At 51.4% G+C, this 17,450-nt stretch overlaps 1 protein-coding gene across 5 annotated transcripts; it reads left to right on the top strand.

The window, feature by feature from the left end:
- On the top strand, positions 1,669-14,306 carry ANKK1 (ankyrin repeat and kinase domain containing 1). Of its 5 annotated transcripts, none has more exons than XM_017017475.2 (9): positions 1,669-1,959; positions 7,371-7,665; positions 8,819-8,970; positions 9,249-9,298; positions 9,475-9,504; positions 9,957-10,112; positions 11,114-11,232; positions 11,870-11,906; positions 12,854-14,306. In XM_017017475.2, the coding sequence occupies exons 1-9, from the start codon at positions 1,775-1,777 to the stop codon at positions 14,155-14,157; spliced, it is 2,328 nt and encodes a 775-aa protein (XP_016872964.1). In that variant the 5' UTR covers positions 1,669-1,774; the 3' UTR covers positions 14,158-14,306. The 5 variants fall into 5 exon arrangements, with proteins under 5 accessions (XP_016872964.1, XP_011541038.1, NP_848605.1 ...); XM_011542736.3 differs by having other exon boundaries at positions 12,851-14,238; XM_011542738.2 differs by lacking the exon at positions 1,669-1,959 and adding an exon at positions 1,966-4,279 and having other exon boundaries at positions 12,851-14,238.

Consider the following 17,450-nt stretch of genomic DNA (forward strand, 5'->3'; position numbering starts at 1 on the left):
AGGCTTTAAACTTGGGCAGGCAGGGCTACTCCAGAGACAATGGGTTCTGTTATGCCCTGTCTTGCTCCAGCCAAAGCAAGCTGGGGGCCTCCCTCTGACATATGTTTGGGGGATACGTCCTGCTCCTGATGCAGTTTCCATCATCTCCACCCTCTTCCAGGGAGCATGACTCTCTCTCTTCCTTTTTTGTATTCATAAAAGGCTACTCCCTGATCCTCCCCTGGCCAACCATTTCCATAGAAACTAAGAGACTTGAGTTTGAATATCAACTACCACTTACTAGCTATGTGTCCATTGATTACTTATTGTCTTGAAGCCAGTTTCCTCATCTGTGAATAGAAGATGTTGACCTCATAACATTGTTGCAAGATAAACAGGATAATATATGTAAAGCAATGCAGTAACTGAAATAGTCACTGATCCTGGAACAAAGTGAGTGTTCAATTAGTAGTGGCTATCACTAGTTTCTATGACAACTGTCTCCAGGCCCAATCTTTGATCCTTAATCTGCTTGCCAGAATTCATCCTGGAAGTTGCAGGTAAGTTGTTACAGAGGGAGCAAGTTCTCCAGCTTCCACAGGGAGTCTCTGTTTGCCTATCATGCCTACACTGTTCCCTGGGAGTCTGGTGGGCTTGTGGCATGGACGAGGGGCTCTGCAGGTTTGGGCTGAAGGCAAGGCACTTCCTTGTCTGGTAGGTAGGCTCCTCAAACCTAACAGTGATCACTCTGAGGGCTCCTTGTGGACTTACTCAGCTGTAGGCAAATAGTGGCTGACTCTGCACTCCGTGGCCACAGTTCCTCCAGGTATGCCTGTCTCTGGGCAATGGCCCACTTGGTCAGTGCCCCTGGGGAGACCTGTCTGTTCAAGCACTTGTCATTTTCCCTGCTCTGAGGGTCTCCAAGGTGAGAGGGCAATCCCATGGACCCAGGACCCAGGGGAACCTCCAAGCTCAGCACTGGTCAGGCTCCAGCTAGAGCCTCCTCTCATCCCTGGCAACAAACTGCCCCTAGTAACTGCGCCAAGGAGGCCACCTCCCCCGTGGCCACCCCGAGGCTGGGGTCCATCCCTCTGAGGTTGGATAGAGCGCAGCCCAGGAAGGGAGTCCCCTGCAGACAGGAGCCCAGCCTCCCCCGCAACTCTGTCCCTGCTGACCCCTCCTTGGTAACCTATAGCACACCAAGGCTGGCTAACAAACAAACAAACAAAACCCCAACAAGAACAAAGGAAACATGAAACCAGTCAGACCAACAGATTCAGACCAGAAAATCCCCATTAAAATTGTTTGAGCCCCATACTTGCTGGATAGGGGCAGGGGTCCAGGCCTGAATCCTTCATAAACCATAAAACCTTGAATGCACTGAAGGAATGCATAAACCGATTTCACTTAGCGCTGGGCCTAAATAAACTGGATCCAACTTCTCAGGCTGGACTTCTTCCAGCTTCGGGACACCTTCTCCCAGCATCCCTCCCTAGGGGGAACTGGGGAAAATCAAAGGCTGAGACAGGGGAAATGCGAGGGCTTCGGAGGGACATACCCTCTTCCCCAGGCCCAGGTCGCTCCATCCCTGCTGGGGCCTCAGGGCTCATGTCTGGGATTTCCCCACCTTTGCGGGGCAGGAGCGGCTCCTCTTGGGCGGGGAAGGAGGCAGGGCCGGCTCGTCTCCCCATTCCCCTCTCCCGGACCCGAGGAGCAGGAAGCGGCGGCTCCTTCGGCCACCCAGGCAGCAGCCACAGCGGGGAGTGCGCGGCGCGGGGACAGGAAGAGAGGGGCAATGGCTGCCGACCCCACCGAGCTGCGGCTGGGCAGCCTCCCCGTCTTCACCCGCGACGACTTCGAGGGCGACTGGCGCCTAGTGGCCAGCGGCGGCTTCAGCCAGGTGTTCCAGGCGCGGCACAGGCGCTGGCGGACGGAGTACGCCATCAAGTGCGCCCCCTGCCTTCCACCCGACGCCGCCAGGTACTGCCAGCCTCGCCCTCCCCTTTCTCGGAGGAGAAACTGAGGCCCGGCAAGCTTTGGGCCCAGGGAGCTTGCGAGGAAGGAGTGGGCTGAGTTTGGGGCTGAGGACTGTCCCCCGCGGTATTTCTGAATTCCACCCAGTAGCCTGAGCCTCCCAGGCACACCCATACCTGTCTCCCTAACCAAAATAGAGTTGGCACATAATACCTGTTTGTAGACTCAACAGAGGTCAAAGGCAAGCGGGAACTACCTACCAAAGACGCCTTTATCCCATCTGACCTTCCGAACTTGTCCTGCCTGCTTCCATCCTTCTCTCCAGCGCCTTCTTCCCCCGGTGTCCTGTGGCAATAACTGCTCTTGACCGCTCTCTGCCATCCTCCTACCCACCCCAGCTCTCAGGGCAGGGCTGAGCATCCTGGGAGGCTGTGGCACTTTGCTCAGATCTGCAGGGAATCATGTTCTCTCTTCCCACGGTGGCGGGAGGGAGGAGGCCCCTCCCAATCAGTGCAGGCTGAGGAGGTCAGGGGATGGAGACTGCCCGGCCTGATGGCCTGTCCAGGCCCTTGGAGGGTCAAGTCTGGAGTTCTCTCATCTCTGTTTTTGTTTTTGTCCCTTGCTGTCATGCGCACTACAGCGACGCCTTGACATGCCCCTATTTTTCTCTTCCTACCTCTTTCCTACGTTTCCATTATTCTCTGTCTTCCCACTGATTTGGAATCCAGTCTCATTCCCACTGGAGTTGCATATACTAGCTGTGTGCTTGCACCTTGCAGCCATGAAGAAGACACTCGGGATGTTAAACCTGAGCATGATAACCATGTCCTCCTCCCAAGGCTCTGGGACATCAATTAGAGAGTCCGGGACGGGGGTCTCTCTGACTGGCATCTGGCTTGGATGCTATCTGTGGTTCTCTAGGATTACCATGCAAACTCTTAAGATACAGCCTCAGGTGCCACACACTCAGTTCCCAGGCCTTCCCCCACCTTATGAGGAGAGGAAAAATAAGATCGCCTAAGGCCCACTCACCTTCCTCCCTCAACATCTGCCTGTTGGTTTTGGAGGAGGGTCAGAGTATGCTAGGATTTGTCTAAATCATTTATAGCCTTTTGAATATAGAACGAAAGGAAACAGATGGCAGTGACATGATTACACTGTGAGACATTGATGCTAACTCCTGCCACTTTCCCTTCCCAAGTTCTGGGAATTCCCTGGGTGGAGGGGGTAAGATAATTAATGGTAATTAAGACTTAGTATGTATGGATTACTATACTAGGAGCTTTACGTGCATTACTTTACTAGATCCTCTTTCCAGCTATTCATTCATTCATCCACTTGACAAATGCTTACTGCTCTTCTACTATGTGTCAGGCACTGTTCTACACCCTGGGATTAACGATGAATGCAACAGATGTGTCCTTTCTCTCCGGGAGATTGCAGCCTAGGGGGAGGAAGACATTAACCAGATAACCCCACATGTAAATGTAAATGTGCTACTGTGAGAAGCTTAAGAAGGGGAGATTTGTGGCTCTAGGAGAGCTCATTAACAGAAAGTTTGACTGATATCAGAAAAGGCTTCCTTGAAGAAGTTACACTACAGCTGAAATGTGAAGAATGAGTATAAGTTAAGTAGGTGAGGAGGAGAAAGTTTTCCAAGAACAGACAACAGAGTGTGCAAAGAATCTGTGGCAAGAGGGGCATGGTAAGTACAAAGATGGGAAAAGGCCATGATGGCTGGAGTTGGGAGAGTAAAAGAGCAGTGGAAAACCACTGAGCATTTACAACCAGGTAGCGGTGGTGACCATGGGAGGGATTAATCAGAATTGCAGTATGGAGAATGCATTGGGAGGGGTAGAGTGGATTCTGGTTAAGTTAGGAGATTGTTATCTTCATTCTGATGAGAGACGGATAATAGGGGCTAGAGTGGAGTGTTGGTAGTGGAGATAGGAAAGGAATGGGTCAAGCCATATTTAGAAGGTAAAAATCCACCCGACTTGGTGCTGGATTAGTCATGGGGAGGATCACGATGAGGAAGAGGGGTATTAAAGCTAACTTGATGTCTGGCTTGCCCAAAGGAATGGAGGATCCACTAAAATGTCCACTCCATGAGAGTGTCTGTTTTGGTCACAGCTCTGTCTCCTGTGCCTGGCACAGAGTTGGTGTTCAATAAATATTTATTGAATGGCAGTGTTGACAATTAATGGAGAGACTATGAAAAGAGGCCTAGACTTGGAGAGGAAGATCATGAGTTCAGCTTTGTACCTGTTGAGTTTCAGATGCCTTTAAACAACCAAGAAGAGTTGTCATGGACATCAGAGTAAAGGTTGGTGCTAACAATATTAAAACTTGGGAGTCATTTGTTATAAGTGGTCATTAAAACTAGGGCATCAGGCTGGGCCTGGTGGCTCACGCTTGTAATCCCAGCACTTTGAGAGGCCAAGGCTGGTGGATCACCTGAGGTCAGGCAAGACCAGCCTGACCAATATGGTGAAACTCCATCTCTACTAAAAATACATAAATTAGCTGGGCGTGGTGGTGGGCACCTGTAGTCCCAGCTACTCAGGAGGTTGAGATAGGAGAATTGCTTGAACCCAGGAGGCAGAGGTTGCAGTGAGCCAAGATCATGCCATTGCACTCCAGCCTGGGCAACAAAAGTGAGACTTGGTCTCAAAAAAAAAAAAAAACAAAGCAAAAAAAAGGCATGGAGGAGATGCATTCATTCCAAGCACTACGTGAAAAAAACAAAGTCCTTGCCCTCATGAAGCTTATAGTCTAAAGGAGGAAGACAAAATAAATAGCAAATGAATAATAAACTTTTTAGCTATAGCACTCATGACCACCTGACAGTTCTTGATTAAAATATCTAAGAAGGGTTGAGAAGTCTGATTTTCCAAGAAATGGGTTGGTCTAAAAATATTAATGCCAGGGCCCTCTGTGTATGGGGAATATAAGAGTTGGAATGGGGTTGCTTTTTTATGTAGACTTCTCTGTGAAATCCATACTAATTAGGTACCATTTGAGTAGAGATTTGAAGGAAATGAAGGGGTAATCCATGTGGCTCTGTTAGGGAGGAGTGTTCTAGGCAGAGAGAACAACAGGTGCAAAGGTCCTGAGGTGGGACCACACTGGGCATGGTGGAGGAACAGTGGGAAGCCCGTGTGCCAGGGGCACAATGAGAGGAGGGTGATTAGGAAAGGAGGTCAGCAAGCTATGCCTGGCATTGGGGACAAATCTTGTAGGACTTTCTCAGCCATGAAAGAACTTTGGCTTTTACTGTGAATGAGGAGAGCCATTGGAGAAGGGCAGTGACATGTTGTGACTTAGATTTTAAAATATGACTTTGGCTGCTGGGTTGAGAATAGATTGTGGAGAGGAAGCGGGAGAAACAGAGTCCAATTAGGAGGCTTGGGCTGAGATGCACCTTGGGGGAGAGGTGGTGAGAAGTGGTCAGCTTGTTGCTCGACAGTATTTTGAAGGTGGTGCTGGCAGGATTTGCGAAGACTTGGCTGTGGGAAGTGAGAGGAAGAAAGGAGTCGAAGATGACACCAGGGTCCTATTCTGAGGACTAGAAGGACAGAGGCCCCATTCACTGAAATGATGAAAACTAAAGGAAGAGCAGGTTTCAGGGGAAAATCAGGAGGTTAGCTTCAGACACATTTGGTATTGAATATCCAATTGGAGATGATGAGGTTGACTATAGAAAGATTATAGAGGGAGAAGAGCAGAGAAGAAGGGCTTGGACTAAGCCCCGTGGTCAAGTAACAGGATATGAGCCTGCAAAGAAAACAGAGAGGAAGTGACCAGACAAGTAGGAGAAAAGCAGGAGAATGTTGACACGTGGCTCAAGTAACGAAGTTTCAAGAAAAAGAGTCAGAGATCTGAACTATACACTGAGAACTGAAAATTATTGGTTAGATATAGCAACATAGAGGCTGTTGGTGACCTTAGCCACAGGTGTTCAGGGGAGTGCAGGTACCAGAAACTAGACAAAAGTGGGTGCAGCAAGATGATGAAGAGGAGAGACAGCAGTAAATGCTCTCAAGACTTCTGGGTAGGAAGCTATGAAAGAACTGTGCAAGGTAGTTACAATTATTCCCAGTTTTTAGTTTAGAAACTGAGGCCCAGAGGATTCCCTTGCCCAAGGTCATACAGATAATAACGGGTGAAACTGGGATTTGAAATCAGGGCAGTGTGATTCCCACATCCCATGCTTTTTTCCATGCCATGGCAGATGTCATTGGTTCCTGTGAACCCAAGAGGATGAGAGAAGACAGATTAAAAATATCACAGAGGTGGAGAAGGGATCTCTGGCACAAGTGAACAAGAATAGGAGAAACCTACACTAGCCAACATGTCCAGATGCCAGGAAGAGCATGTGGTTTTTCCTGAAGGTTGGGGCTCTCCAGCTGGCTTCCCAGGGAGACCCCGGGAGCACATTGCCAGCAGTCTCTGACTACAGCACCATCACAGTTTTGCAAATACTGTGCTCTCAAATATGTCATTTCTCCTTAATCCCCATCCCTGCAATCCCAAAATAATCTATAACAATTTTCATATTTACTGTTCTGTGGGCACATACAGTGAAATGAGCAACAGGGTTTGCAAATGCTTATTTTGTAAGGCCTTCCCTTAAGTTTCGACTTCTGTTCCAATTCAACAAAGATGTATTGTGCAATGCATGGCAATGCACTTTGGGAATTATAGAGATGAATAATTACAGTTCATCCATAAAATGGAATAGTGTGCAGCCACTAAAGATCATGCTTTGGAAGAACAGCAGTGTGGGGAAGTGCTCGTGCTCCACATACTATGTGATCCAAAAGGAGAGAGCAGAAAGAAGGAGTGAAAGAGAGGGAGAAAGGGAAAGAGATACCTTGAAGGTGGATAGTAAAAGGATATACTAAAATATCAACAGAGGCTAGCTCTGGAAGGTTGCATCCCTGGTAACTTATTTTTCTTTTATATAGCTCTCTATATTCCCTATGTTTCCTACAAGGTATATGTATTACTTCCATAATTTAAATGGTAATAAATGATGTTTTGAAGCAGAAGCATGAGGCATCATGTTGGTCCTCTGGGGGCTCAAAATCTACTAGGGGAGATAAACATAGAAACAAGCAACTAGAATAAAGGGCAAACTGTGATACCTGCTTTTTTGTGGCCACCTTTGCAGAATGGACTGGCTCCTAAACCTGCAAACTCCTTTACTTCCTGCCTTGTTGCTGCTGTACTGAAATCTAAGCGGCCTGCTAAGTATTGCTTCATGTCTCTCTTTCCTCTTCCACTACCTTGCAAGCTCCTGAGGCTTCTGTGGGTCCCCACAGTCTGGCATCATGGCTAGTTTATGTGTTCAGCTGGTTGCTGTAGTAATGAATGGGTCACCCCCTTCCATATCTTGCTCCCCCTCTCCATAGCTCTGATGTGAATTACCTCATTGAAGAAGCTGCCAAAATGAAGAAGATCAAGTTTCAGCACATCGTGTCTATCTACGGGGTGTGCAAGCAGCCCCTGGGTATTGTGATGGAGTTTATGGCCAACGGCTCCCTGGAGAAGGTGCTGTCCACCCACAGCCTCTGCTGGAAGCTCAGGTTCCGCATCATCCATGAGACCAGCTTGGCCATGAACTTCCTGCACAGCATTAAGCCGCCTCTGCTCCACCTGGACCTCAAGCCGGGCAACATACTCCTGGACAGCAACATGCATGTCAAAGTAAGGGCTCTGGCCAATCCTCCGCTCCCTTTCACTTGAGGGTTGCCTCCAGGTGAGCAGAATTATCCACCTGCCTGACCGGCCTGTCAAGGGTTTTAAGCAGTTCCCTTCATGGACAAATTCTAAAGGCAGGGATCACACTGCAATAGAGATGGCTAAGCAGTGAAATTTGGGGCATAAGGCTGGGTATCAGGATGCCTATAATAACCCTCTTTGGACTCAGTTTCCCATTTCTAAATTGGATAGAATAATCTCTATTTCCCTGCACTTTCTTTTATTTGGATGGAGACGTGTGTAAATGAGACAATCCCTAAGAAAGGTTGTAATGGACATTCTTTCACTTCCTAAAACTCTTTTTTGCCCCAGGACCTTTGCAGCTTCTGTTTCCCCACTCCCCTCTATTTACCTAGCGAAGGTCTACTCACTATTCAGCTTAACCATCACCTCCTCAGGGAGCTCTTCCCTGATCTACTCCAGTAGGTCCCCATTATATGCCTTCACTGTACCTCTGATTCTCCATATTACTAACCCCAACATAGGTATATAATCATTAGTGAAACACTTTCATTAATGACTGGACCCCCTATTTGAATAAGTATTTACGAGGATATGGAGTGTGTGTGTTGGCAGGGGGTGTCTCATTTTTCTTATCTGCTGCCCAGTCCTTGGTCCACAGCCTTCCTGGCCCTCAATGCATGGCCAACTTGACAAGTGAATGACTCAGTGGATGGGAGCAAAGGGAAGATAAATGTCCATGGTGTGTTTCAGGGCCCCCGGAGGTGCAATGAATAGCTTACCGAAGGTGGCAACTTCATTCATAGTCTCTGGATAATAACACCTACCACATCCTAACTACATGCCAGGCACTGTTTAAGTGCTTTTTGCATGGCACCTCATTTAGTGCTCACAATAGCACTGTGAGTTAAATGGTCATATTACTTCTACTTTACAGGTGAAGAAACTGAGGCTCTGAGAAGATAAGTAATTTGGCCAAGACCATCCAGATAGTAAGTGGTAGTGCTAGGAGGGAGTGTCATAGAAAACCACTACTCTACCCTGGAACAGGCAGATAGCAGGAGGGGTGAGAAGCCATAGCCGTTTTCTGGTCATGAGGCTCTATCACGGCTTTATCTCTGCCCCTGCCTTCTCCCAGATTTCAGACTTCGGCCTGTCCAAGTGGATGGAACAGTCCACCCGGATGCAGTACATCGAGAGGTCGGCTCTGCGGGGCATGCTCAGCTACATCCCCCCTGAGATGTTCCTGGAGAGTAACAAGGCCCCAGGACCTAAATATGATGTGTACAGGTGAGAAGGAGGCCTGGCGTGATGCCACACACCCAGCAGGCAGTTTGCTGCCACCACCCTGCCTGGCCTCTATGGCCCAAAGGGCAGGGCAGTGCGGGCATGAGGTCTGGCCCAAGGCGGAGGACTCTGGCTGGAGAGGCAGAGGGCTGGGGAGTACTTTGGCCGGTGAGGCTTGCCTGGGACTGTGTGAACTGTAGCCCCCCGACCCTGCCACCCCGGGCTGGGGTGATCTTGGATGTTCAACTAAGTCATTCAGAAAGGGTTCTCTGCATCCACAGCTTTGCAATTGTCATCTGGGAGCTACTCACTCAGAAGAAACCATACTCAGGTAAGCAGGCGGCTGTGGCTCTGTGTTGGGGGCAGGAGGACCCCTGGGATGGGCTCCTGGAAGGGGCTGTGGGAGGACTGAGGGTTGGGGGGGGTCAAGTTGCAGGTTTGTGTGGAACTGTATTCTCTTCAGGGATTCCTCTCCTCACCCTCCTTCCTTCCTGCCTCTATTTCTAGAGCTCACGTCACAGCTAAAGGAAAGGAAAGGTCAGCCCAGCCCCCAGCCCATGCTTGGTGGCTCTAACTTCCTTGCTTCTAAAGTGCCCTTTCTGCCTTCTCACACCCCTGCCCCCTGCCACCTAGATGCCAGGTAAAGAGACTGCAGGAAACTTGGGCAACCTTGCAACCTTGAGAGTCAGAGCCTTTACCTAGGCCTGCCCATCAGCTGCCTGTCCTGCTGCCTTTGGACAGCACAGACCTGCAATGTGGGGTCATGTCTAGTCTTGACCTGGGAGGCAGCTGGAGCCAGACCAGAGAGACTTGGCTGCTCAACACAGAACCTCAAGTTGGTTGAAAGTCTAGCTGTTTACTCACCAAGCATTTGTGGAGCCCCCACTGCGTGCATGCCCTGTTGGGATCCTCAGAGCCCCCGCCTTCCTCCCCAGCTCCCCTCCAGCCCTACCTCTCAGCACCCACATAGCCTGAGCCTCCCTTTGCAGGGTTCAACATGATGATGATTATTATCCGAGTGGCGGCAGGCATGCGGCCCTCCCTACAGCCTGTCTCTGACCAATGGCCAAGCGAGGCCCAGCAGATGGTGGACCTGATGAAACGCTGCTGGGACCAGGACCCCAAGAAGAGGCCATGCTTTCTAGGTGCTTATCCAGTGCCCCCTACCCAGGGACTGGGAGCTGGGTGGGGCCGGGAGGGGAGATGACTGGGCACTCCTGGGAGCTATGCAGAGAGACACTTTTGGTACTACGGCCTAGAAGGACTTTTTTTTTTTTTTTTTCAGAGACACGGTCTCTCTGGTCCAGGCTGGAGTGTGGTGGTGTGATCATACTTCACCATAAGCTCAAACTCCTGGGCTCAAGATATCCTCCCGCCTCAGCCTCCTGAGTAGCCAGAACAACAAGCACACCACCATGCCTGGCTAATTTTTAGATTTTTTTTAAGAGATGGGGGTCTCGCTATGTTATTCAGGCTGTTCTCAAACTCCTGGCCTCAAGTGATCCTCCAGCCTCATCCTCCCAAAGTGCTGGGATTACAGGTATGAACCACTGTACCTGGCCTAGAAGGACTTTTTGAGGCAGGATCTGCATCACGGGGCTGGGAAGGCAGCACTGGGAGCCAGGAGTAGCTGAGGATGGGGTCTGGGCTCTGTGTGTGTTAATGCATGTCCCTGTGGGAGGTGGAGTAGAAAACCCTCGGTGCCAAAAGGCAGAAGCCACAGCATCTGGGCCTGGCCCTGTCACCAAGCTCTCCAGCCAGCCTTGAGTCCTTTCAGAGCTACTGTTTCCTCATTTGTAAAATGTTTCCAGGCCATGAGATCACAGGCTGAGGATGGCCCATGAGCTCATCCAGTCCTTTGGGGACTGTGAAAATGCACCTGTGTGTAAGTGTGAGCATCTTAGAGATTGCCTGAACTTGCCCCCTCATTCTGTGGGAAAGGACCCTGATAACTCAGAGGGTCAGTGACTTGCTGAAGGTGCCCCACCATGACCCAGGTTTCCTGCCTTCTCGTGCATTTATATGAACATATGTGAGCCCAGGAATGGATTTTGGGAGACAGGAATGTTAGGGTATCTAAAACAGGGAGGGTACTGTGGGCCAGCCCGTTGCTTCCTTTCCTGTCTTTCTCCCACTCATGGAGCAGACATTACCATCGAGACAGACATACTGCTGTCACTGCTGCAGAGTCGTGTGGCAGTCCCAGAGAGCAAGGCCCTGGCCAGGAAGGTGTCCTGCAAGCTGTCGCTGCGCCAGCCCGGGGAGGTGAGTGTGTGGGCTGGGCAGTCCTTATGGTCATGCTAAGCTGGAGCCCGCTGTGTGGACTGTTGTGATCTCTGGCCAGACACTGAGCACTCATGCACAGCCCAGCTTGGGGCCACCTCCATCCAGAGGGGACACATTTCCCTAATTTGCATGAAGGTACTCCAAGGGATAGTGGTGGCTAGAGCACAGGGCCCCTGGGAAGGATATACCTTCTCTCTCATGTTTGGGACCAAACTGACTCCTGTCCTGCAGAGGAAGGCCCGGCTCTCCCAAGCTTTCATGCTGTGGGTGTCAACATCATCCCCCTGCTCTTCTGTCCCTATTCTTAACACGGGAACCAGCCATGAGTTAACATGGGGCTCCCCCAGCTGAACTCACAGATCCACCCTGAAGTTCACATGGCCCAAGGGGAAGGCAAGGCCCTGAGCTGCCTCTTTCTGGAGGGTTTCTCCAGCTCAGTGTTTTCCTCTAGACAGCTGGGGATAGTCATGGCAAAGGATAAAGGTTTCCCAGGATAGGGTGGGATGTGAGTCCTGACAGTGACCGGGAAGGTTGGAGAGAGGGAAGGAGGGGAGGAGGGCACAGGCTAGAACTGCGCCACTGATCTCCACCCTGCCTGCTGGTTATGCCTCCCCAGGTTAATGAGGACATCAGCCAGGAACTGATGGACAGTGGTGAGTCTGGGTGCCACGGGCGGGACCAGAGAACTCACAGCAGAGAAAATGGAGTCAAACCACACCCTTTCCCCATCCCCCTGGCCTCCCCCTCATCCCCAGGCCTATCACACATCCAGGGTTTAGGTGCCCTTTTCCAGCACCCAGCTGCATGTTCAGAAAGCACATGCCCTCAGGGAGCCTGGCTGCCTCCCTTTCAAGTCTGTGTCCTTGCAAGACGGAATTTTCCCTTTCCTGACCTGAAAGGTGGAGCATTGGTTCTCAAGGCTGGCTGCATGTTAGAATTGCTCGGGAAATTAAAAAAAAAAAAAAAAAAAAGCTTTGCCTTGGGCACACCCTAGACTAATTAAACCAGAATCTGTGAGGGTTAGGCCTGGGTAGTGATCATTTTTGTCATTTTAATTCTCATACTCCACTGGGTAGAGCAGAAGGATGTTGATCCTTAAGACCTCAGAGGGGAGTTTAGATCATAGAACTCCAACCACAAGTTTATTTCCAACTTAGAATTGCTTACTTTCCCTCAGGTCCTCCACTGAAAGTTTTTACCTATATAATTTGTCCTTCCAATGGTAGAATGAACTGATCATTGTTTGTCCCCTCTTCCATATCTGATCCAGATATGGAAGCTCAAAGAGGCAGTGAATTGGCTAAGGTCGGGGGATGCTGAGGAGTGAAATCAGGATTTGCACTCGGGCCTCCTGAGCCCACTGCTCTTTCTGCCTCACCTGTGAGGAAAGGACTGCAGGACTCAGCTCTCCAGGACGACCGAGCCTGAACTTGAATAGTAACATTTATGGCTGTGTAGAGAGCCATGCTTAGGAAAGGCATTGCCCTTACTGCTCTAGCCTCTGTTCCTGGATGGTACTTCCAGGAGGCAGGGGGATGGCCATGATGACCTCTGGACGGGTCACAGGTCTTTTTTTTCAACCCCATCTTTCTCCCAGCAGACTCAGGAAACTACCTGAAGCGGGCCCTTCAGCTCTCCGACCGTAAGAATTTGGTCCCGAGAGATGAGGAACTGTGTATCTATGAGAACAAGGTCACCCCCCTCCACTTCCTGGTGGCCCAGGGCAGTGTGGAGCAGGTGAGGTTGCTGCTGGCCCACGAGGTAGACGTGGACTGCCAGACGGCCTCTGGATACACGCCCCTCCTGATCGCCGCCCAGGACCAGCAACCCGACCTCTGTGCCCTGCTTTTGGCACATGGTGCTGATGCCAACCGAGTGGATGAGGATGGCTGGGCCCCACTGCACTTTGCAGCCCAGAATGGGGATGACGGCACTGCGCGCCTGCTCCTGGACCACGGGGCCTGTGTGGATGCCCAGGAACGTGAAGGGTGGACCCCTCTTCACCTGGCTGCACAGAATAACTTTGAGAATGTGGCACGGCTTCTGGTCTCCCGTCAGGCTGACCCCAACCTGCATGAGGCTGAGGGCAAGACCCCCCTCCATGTGGCCGCCTACTTTGGCCATGTTAGCCTGGTCAAGCTGCTGACCAGCCAGGGGGCTGAGTTGGATGCTCAGCAGAGAAACCTGAGAACACCACTGCACCTGGCAGTAGAGCGGGGCAAAGTGAGGGCCATCCAACACCTGCTGAAGAGTGGAGCGGTCCCTGATGCCCTTGACCAGAGCGGCTACGGCCCACTGCACACTGCAGCTGCCAGGGGCAAATACCTGATCTGCAAGATGCTGCTCAGGTACGGAGCCAGCCTTGAGCTGCCCACCCACCAGGGCTGGACACCCCTGCATCTAGCAGCCTACAAGGGCCACCTGGAGATCATCCATCTGCTGGCAGAGAGCCACGCAAACATGGGTGCTCTTGGAGCTGTGAACTGGACTCCCCTGCACCTAGCTGCACGCCACGGGGAGGAGGCGGTGGTGTCAGCACTGCTGCAGTGTGGGGCTGACCCCAATGCTGCAGAGCAGTCAGGCTGGACACCCCTCCACCTGGCGGTCCAGAGGAGCACCTTCCTGAGTGTCATCAACCTCCTAGAACATCACGCAAATGTCCACGCCCGCAACAAGGTGGGCTGGACACCCGCCCACCTGGCCGCCCTCAAGGGCAACACAGCCATCCTCAAAGTGCTGGTCGAGGCAGGCGCCCAGCTGGACGTCCAGGATGGAGTGAGCTGCACACCCCTGCAACTGGCCCTCCGCAGCCGAAAGCAGGGCATCATGTCCTTCCTAGAGGGCAAGGAGCCGTCAGTGGCCACTCTGGGTGGTTCTAAGCCAGGAGCCGAGATGGAAATTTAGACAACTTGGCCAGCCGTGGTGGCTCACGTCTGTAATCCCAGCACTTTGGGAGGCTGAGGCAGGCAGATCACCTGATATCAAGAGTTTGAGGCCAGCCTGGCCAACATGGCAAAACCCTGTCTCTGCTAAAAATACAAAATTTAGCTGGGTATGGTGGCACGTGCCTGTAATCCCAACTACCAGGGAGGCTGAGGCAGGAGAATTCCTTGAACCCAGGAGGCAGAGGTTGCAGTGAGCCGAGATCGCACCACTGCACTCCAGCCTGGGCAACAGAGCGAGACTCCATATAAAAAAGAAAGAAAGAAAGAAATTTAGACTACTTGGGGCCTCTCGCCTGGATGGAGTAGGAACTGGTGAAAGTGCAGCTGGGCTTCTGGCAGGGCATCTTCCCTGTCTGCAGTCTTCACCTGCCCCTTCCACCTTGAGAGGAGACAGGAACCTGGGTGATGGGGGCATGGGGAGAGGTATCACTGTGGCTGTAGCTGAGGAAGGGGCTCTGGCTTGGAGAGCTGCCTTCAACACATCCTCCAGTCACTTCCAACAGACCCCAGGCCTCCTCCTCCTCCTTTATGGGGATGCAAGCTCCCCAAATGAATACCCTCTCCAATCCAAGACACCTACCACCTTTTGCCACTCGCTTCTGAGTTCACAGGGGCCCTTGCATCCTAGCAGACCCCCTCTGGAGATGGAGGGAGGCACAGCGGTGAGGGAAGCAGGATCCTCCCATCTCACGTCTTGGGCTCTTGGCTCCTTACCTCAGGCTGGGGCGGGAGAGCCAGACACGTGTGCTTTGCTCAAGGGGCAGAAGCTAAAAGTTCAAAGGAGGTTTCTGCTCACTAAAGTCCCAGCCAGCCATCTGTTGCCACACTGACCACACCTGTCCAGTGCCCCTGGTCCCAATGCCTGGGTCTCCCTCATGGCATTTTGAGGATATAGGAAGGGTGCACTCCAACTGTGGATAAGTCACCCTATGTGAGATGTGAGGTCCCTGGTCCCCAGCACCACCCTTCATCCTACATCGTGTCCAGTTTTACAGCCAGATTTCAAACTCTGAAGTCAAGAAAGCTGAGGCTCTGAGGCTCCTGTTTAGAGATGGATTGGCCTGTGGAACCAAGTTGCATATAGAGGCCAGCAGCGTTAGTATGGTGTGCTTGTGTGTGTATGCGATTTGTCTAATGTAGGGTATATGTGTGTTCATATGTGTGTGTGAGTTCACATAAAGACAGGAGGCAGAGGCAGCAGAGGGAGTTGGAGGGGGTGATGATGGTGAGGGGTGGGTTGTCTGGACTCAGTATGGAGCTTGCAGGGCTCACTTTTGTGACCACACCCAGGCCACCCATCAGCTGTCCTGTCCTGTCCTGCTGGTTGTGGCTGGAGCTGTTCACACTAACTTTATGTGACCAGGGCCCTAGTTCAGCTTCCAGGAGAGCAGCCAACAATTTGGAGGGAGTAGGGACAGGATGAGTTTCCTGGGGTCCTATCCTGCTCCTTCTGTCTCCCTACACTGCTGGTCAGCATAGTAGAAGCAGCTCCTCCCACTCAAGGATGTTTTGCAATTGTCAGAGAAAAGGAATCATCTGTCCCAACTATTGGCCAGCTCTCAGCCAAGCTGATTGGCAGGCCCACCTCTGCGTGTCATTCTCCTGGGCTGGGCACTCCAGTCTGGGCATGGGGCCAGCAGCTAGCAGCCTGGCATCAGCATGGGGTGAGAGAGGTGGGGCAGAGGAAATGTGTTGCCCACGTGCAATCCTGTTGAATTAACAAGTCCCTTTCAGTAGAGCTAGCAGCTTTGTGTCCTCCATCCTTTGGCCTCTGGACCACAGCTCCAGCCTGTTGGGCCCTGGGCCCTTTACCACCACCTTGCCATAGCTTATGGCCACCATGGAAAGTCAGATGTGAGCCCAGGAAGCTGGAGTGTGTCCTAGAGCCATGGTTGTAAACCGAGCCTGCACGTTAAAATCTCCTGGGCAAGGGGCTTTTAAAATATACCAACGCCTGGCCCTACCCTCAACCAATTAAACCAGAACCTCCAGGGTAGGACCTTGGTGTGAGCATCATTAACAATTCCCAAGTGATTCTGAAGAGCACCCAGGGCTGAGAAGCACTGGAGCATCCCATGGTTTCTCTCTGTGCCCTTCCTTAGCATAACCTTGCAGACATCAGTGGCCAGCAGCTTGGGTGTCAGAGGTCTTTTTCTCTTCCATTTGGACTCCTGACGACTGGGTTCAGGGGACACTCAGCTGACTGTTCCATCTTCCTACTCCCTGCTAGCTGCCCAGCTCAATCTCTTTAGTCTCACTGAGACTAAGCCTTAGGCAAAACTTGTAGTTAAAGATTCCCCTAGGAGTTCTAGCTTTCCCAGAACATGCGGGAGCAAGAGGAGGGAAGTGGAGGAGGCACAGGGCTGTTTGCTTCTCTTTGCACTCTGAAGTCTCCCACCAGTGTCTGCCAGGATCCTATCTGCCCTTCCAGATCTAACTCCAAATCTAGGACTCTATGAGAGCCAGAGAAGGCTCTGGGGCTACATACTTCCAGCCAAGGGTGCTCAGATCCATCAGTGGGAGTGATCAGGAGGGAACCAAAGAGGGAGAAGAGTGGCTGGCTGATCCTATTGGAAAGAGCTGAGAACTGAGAAAAGGCCTTGAAAAAAAGAGTTAGAAAAAGTAGATGAACCTTTTGCACCTAGTGTCCAATGAATGGCAGGGATGCTGTGGAGATGTGGACAGGACTGTCCCTGGGAATCATTTCAGCTCTGGTGATCCTGAGTCTAGGCAGAGATTCTCACACCCCTGCTTCCTCCACTTCCTTCCTCTAAGAGATAACTCTTAGAGGTGACTTCAGGCCAGCCCTGGACAACATGGCCCTTCATTGCCTACCAGTGTCTTCTTCTGCCCTATCAAGCCACTCCTAGCCAGACACAGACACACACACAAACACACACGGTATCCACCTTGAGTCCCATTTCAACACAGCTGCCTTCTAGAGCTTCCCTAGGGATGTTTAAAATTGGGTTTGAATGAGGCCCTTGAAATTCCCAAGGAGAGGGTCTCCAGTAGAAGTTCAAGCCCTATTTAGGGGAGATTGGGGATCGGGGGGAAAGAGCTCCCCAATTTCTTACTGGGCATCTCCACTTGGAGGGAGAAGGGAATGCTCAGTTTGGGACACTTTGAGTTGAAGGGGTCTACAGGAGTAGACCTTCAACTCAAAGTGTCCCAAACTGAGCATTCCCTTCTCCCTCCACAAGCCTGACTTCACCCTTTATACCCTATTTTAGTTGAAGGTATCCAAACTCC

This window comes from Homo sapiens, chromosome 11 (genome assembly GCF_000001405.40).
Source record: "Homo sapiens chromosome 11, GRCh38.p14 Primary Assembly".
In the NCBI taxonomy this organism is placed as follows: domain Eukaryota; kingdom Metazoa; phylum Chordata; class Mammalia; order Primates; family Hominidae; genus Homo; species Homo sapiens.